General features: G+C 55.0%; 2 annotated features.

Annotated features, from left to right (window-relative positions):
• Window positions 297-1,041: an enhancer, noted in NCBI's record as "H3K4me1 hESC enhancer chr6:166732175-166732919 (GRCh37/hg19 assembly coordinates)". NCBI's record gives its function as "activates a minimal SCP1, AML or CMV promoter by ChIP-STARR-seq in primed H9 embryonic stem cells {active_cell/tissue: H9 hESC(primed)}" and the evidence as "EXISTENCE:reporter gene assay evidence [ECO:0000049][PMID:30033119]".
• Window positions 1,042-1,787: an enhancer, noted in NCBI's record as "H3K4me1 hESC enhancer chr6:166731429-166732174 (GRCh37/hg19 assembly coordinates)". NCBI's record gives its function as "activates a minimal SCP1, AML or CMV promoter by ChIP-STARR-seq in primed H9 embryonic stem cells {active_cell/tissue: H9 hESC(primed)}" and the evidence as "EXISTENCE:reporter gene assay evidence [ECO:0000049][PMID:30033119]".

Genomic DNA, 1,935 nt, shown 5'->3' with positions numbered 1-1,935 from the left:
CATTTTCTGAATCAAATTTATAATATTTTAAGTGACTCAATTCAATAATATTTAGTTTAGGCACTATACAGTCTCTCTGTAGAAAAATGAGGAAGATACAGTCTCTCCCCTAAATAATACTGTTAAATACAAATTGTGAGAGATAATGGGACTGACAGCAGAGCCCATTCCAGGAAGTGCAGGGGGAGGAGGTGAGGCGGCATTGACTGTGAGGGTGTCAGGAGAAGTCAGGCCACTGGACAGTAGTGGCAGCAGGAAGCTACCTTCACCCCAGGCTGGAGGAGAAGCAGAGAGGGCGGAGAACTAGCCAGCGCCCTCCTCCTCCCTGCAAGTCTCCCACTGGCTGTCCTGGTCTCCTCAGTTGCCAGGGAGAGGCAGATAGGCGGGTGCCAGCATGATGTGGTGCCAGCAGGAGGGAAGGCGGCTCTATGTCTGTCCAGGGTAGGGAGAGTTAATAAAGAGCATACAACAGGGTAATGGGAGCAGCATTTTATGCACAGTCAGCTTAGAGGAGAGCTGAGGGGGATGTCCTTGAGGGGCAGCAGGCAGATGGGCAGAAGGGATCTTGTGTAGCACTGGGTGGTGGTGGCCGGACCTTGTTCAGGTCATCAGGTGTGGCTGAAATCCAGGAGTGGGCTGGGGTGGGGAGGGAGACTAAGCTGGCAGGGAGCCAGGGTCAGGCCTTAGGACCCTGGAAGTCAGGCACGCGCTTGGAAAAGAAGGTGCAGGAAAAGAGTGAGTTCTGGTGAGTGGGCGGACACTGTGCTTGGTGCTCAAGGAAGATGCAACAGACGTCCTTGTCTTCAAAGACTTTACGATTATGGGGGAGACAGACATGTTCCCAGTTGTTAGGTGTGGGGACTGGGGCTTCAGAGACATCCACAGGACTCTGCGGGCGTGTGGAGGACAGCTCACCCAGCCGCAGGGGGCGTATAGAGGACAGCCCACCCAGCTGCAGGGAGGGTGACAAGGAGCAGAGGGGCAGAGGAAGAGGGTGGCATGGAGGGGCAGAGCGTGGCATGTGTGGAATGCCACAGAAGAAGCAGGGCTCCAGAAAACGTGACGGAGCTGGAGTTTGAGTCTGAGAGTAGCGGCAGCCTGAAGAAGAATCTTATTTTAGACAGCAGGCGACAATGGGAGTAAAGAAAACATGTCAGTTTGCAGAAGACTAGGAAGAAACTCATGTGCTGAGTTCTGTCTGGGGCCTGGTTCGTCTGAGGGCCGGCCCTCAGCCCTGCGGTGTAGCCGAGTCTCCATGCCATACAGAGGTGCAGCTGCCGTGGTGACTCAGCCTGCGTGGCAGGGGCAGGTGTGGCCAGCTTGTGGGCTGCGGAGGCCGTGCCCCCCGTTGCGCTCTGCTGCCTCCCCAGAGTCATTTGTTCTGCATCCGTGTTTGTCGGCCACAGAAATGTTCCTCTAGGAAACATTCCCCCAGCATTGGGAATCTTCCTGAGAAATGTCCGTTCAGCTTCATTTCTGCCCAGGTGGACTTAAACACAGAAACGGCTCTGTGCTTCCCATTTGCCCTGTGCTGGCAGCAGGGTTTGACCTGATCAAAGTAAGGAGCCTTCTAGGAGTCTGTGTGAGACAAGTCAGGGCAGCCTGAGAGCCAGAGCAGGGACTGGTGGCACAGGCGGTGAGCTCGTGCCTGTCTCCAGAGGAATCTCAGTCTTCCAGGACTGAGGGATAAACTGGAGGCCACACTTAGAGTAACCATTATGGAGCAATGCGGGTTCAGAAACTACCTCTGAAGCCTGCTGCTATATTGATGCAGCGGTGCGGGGTGGGGTGTAGTCCCAGGACAGGATATGGAGTAGCTTTGGGTCCACCATGGGGTGTGAGGCGTGGCCTCGGGATAGAGAAGGGCGTCATTCAGTCTGCCCAGGTGGTGGAGAGAGACACCTGAGTTCAGACAAGGGTGTTGTCTTAGCTCAG

The sequence above is a fragment of the Homo sapiens genome, chromosome 6 (assembly GCF_000001405.40).
Source record: "Homo sapiens chromosome 6, GRCh38.p14 Primary Assembly".
NCBI classification, from domain to species: Eukaryota; Metazoa; Chordata; class Mammalia; order Primates; family Hominidae; genus Homo; species Homo sapiens.
Note: the sequence above shows the minus strand (reverse complement) of the source record. Positions and strands in the feature narration are given on the sequence as shown.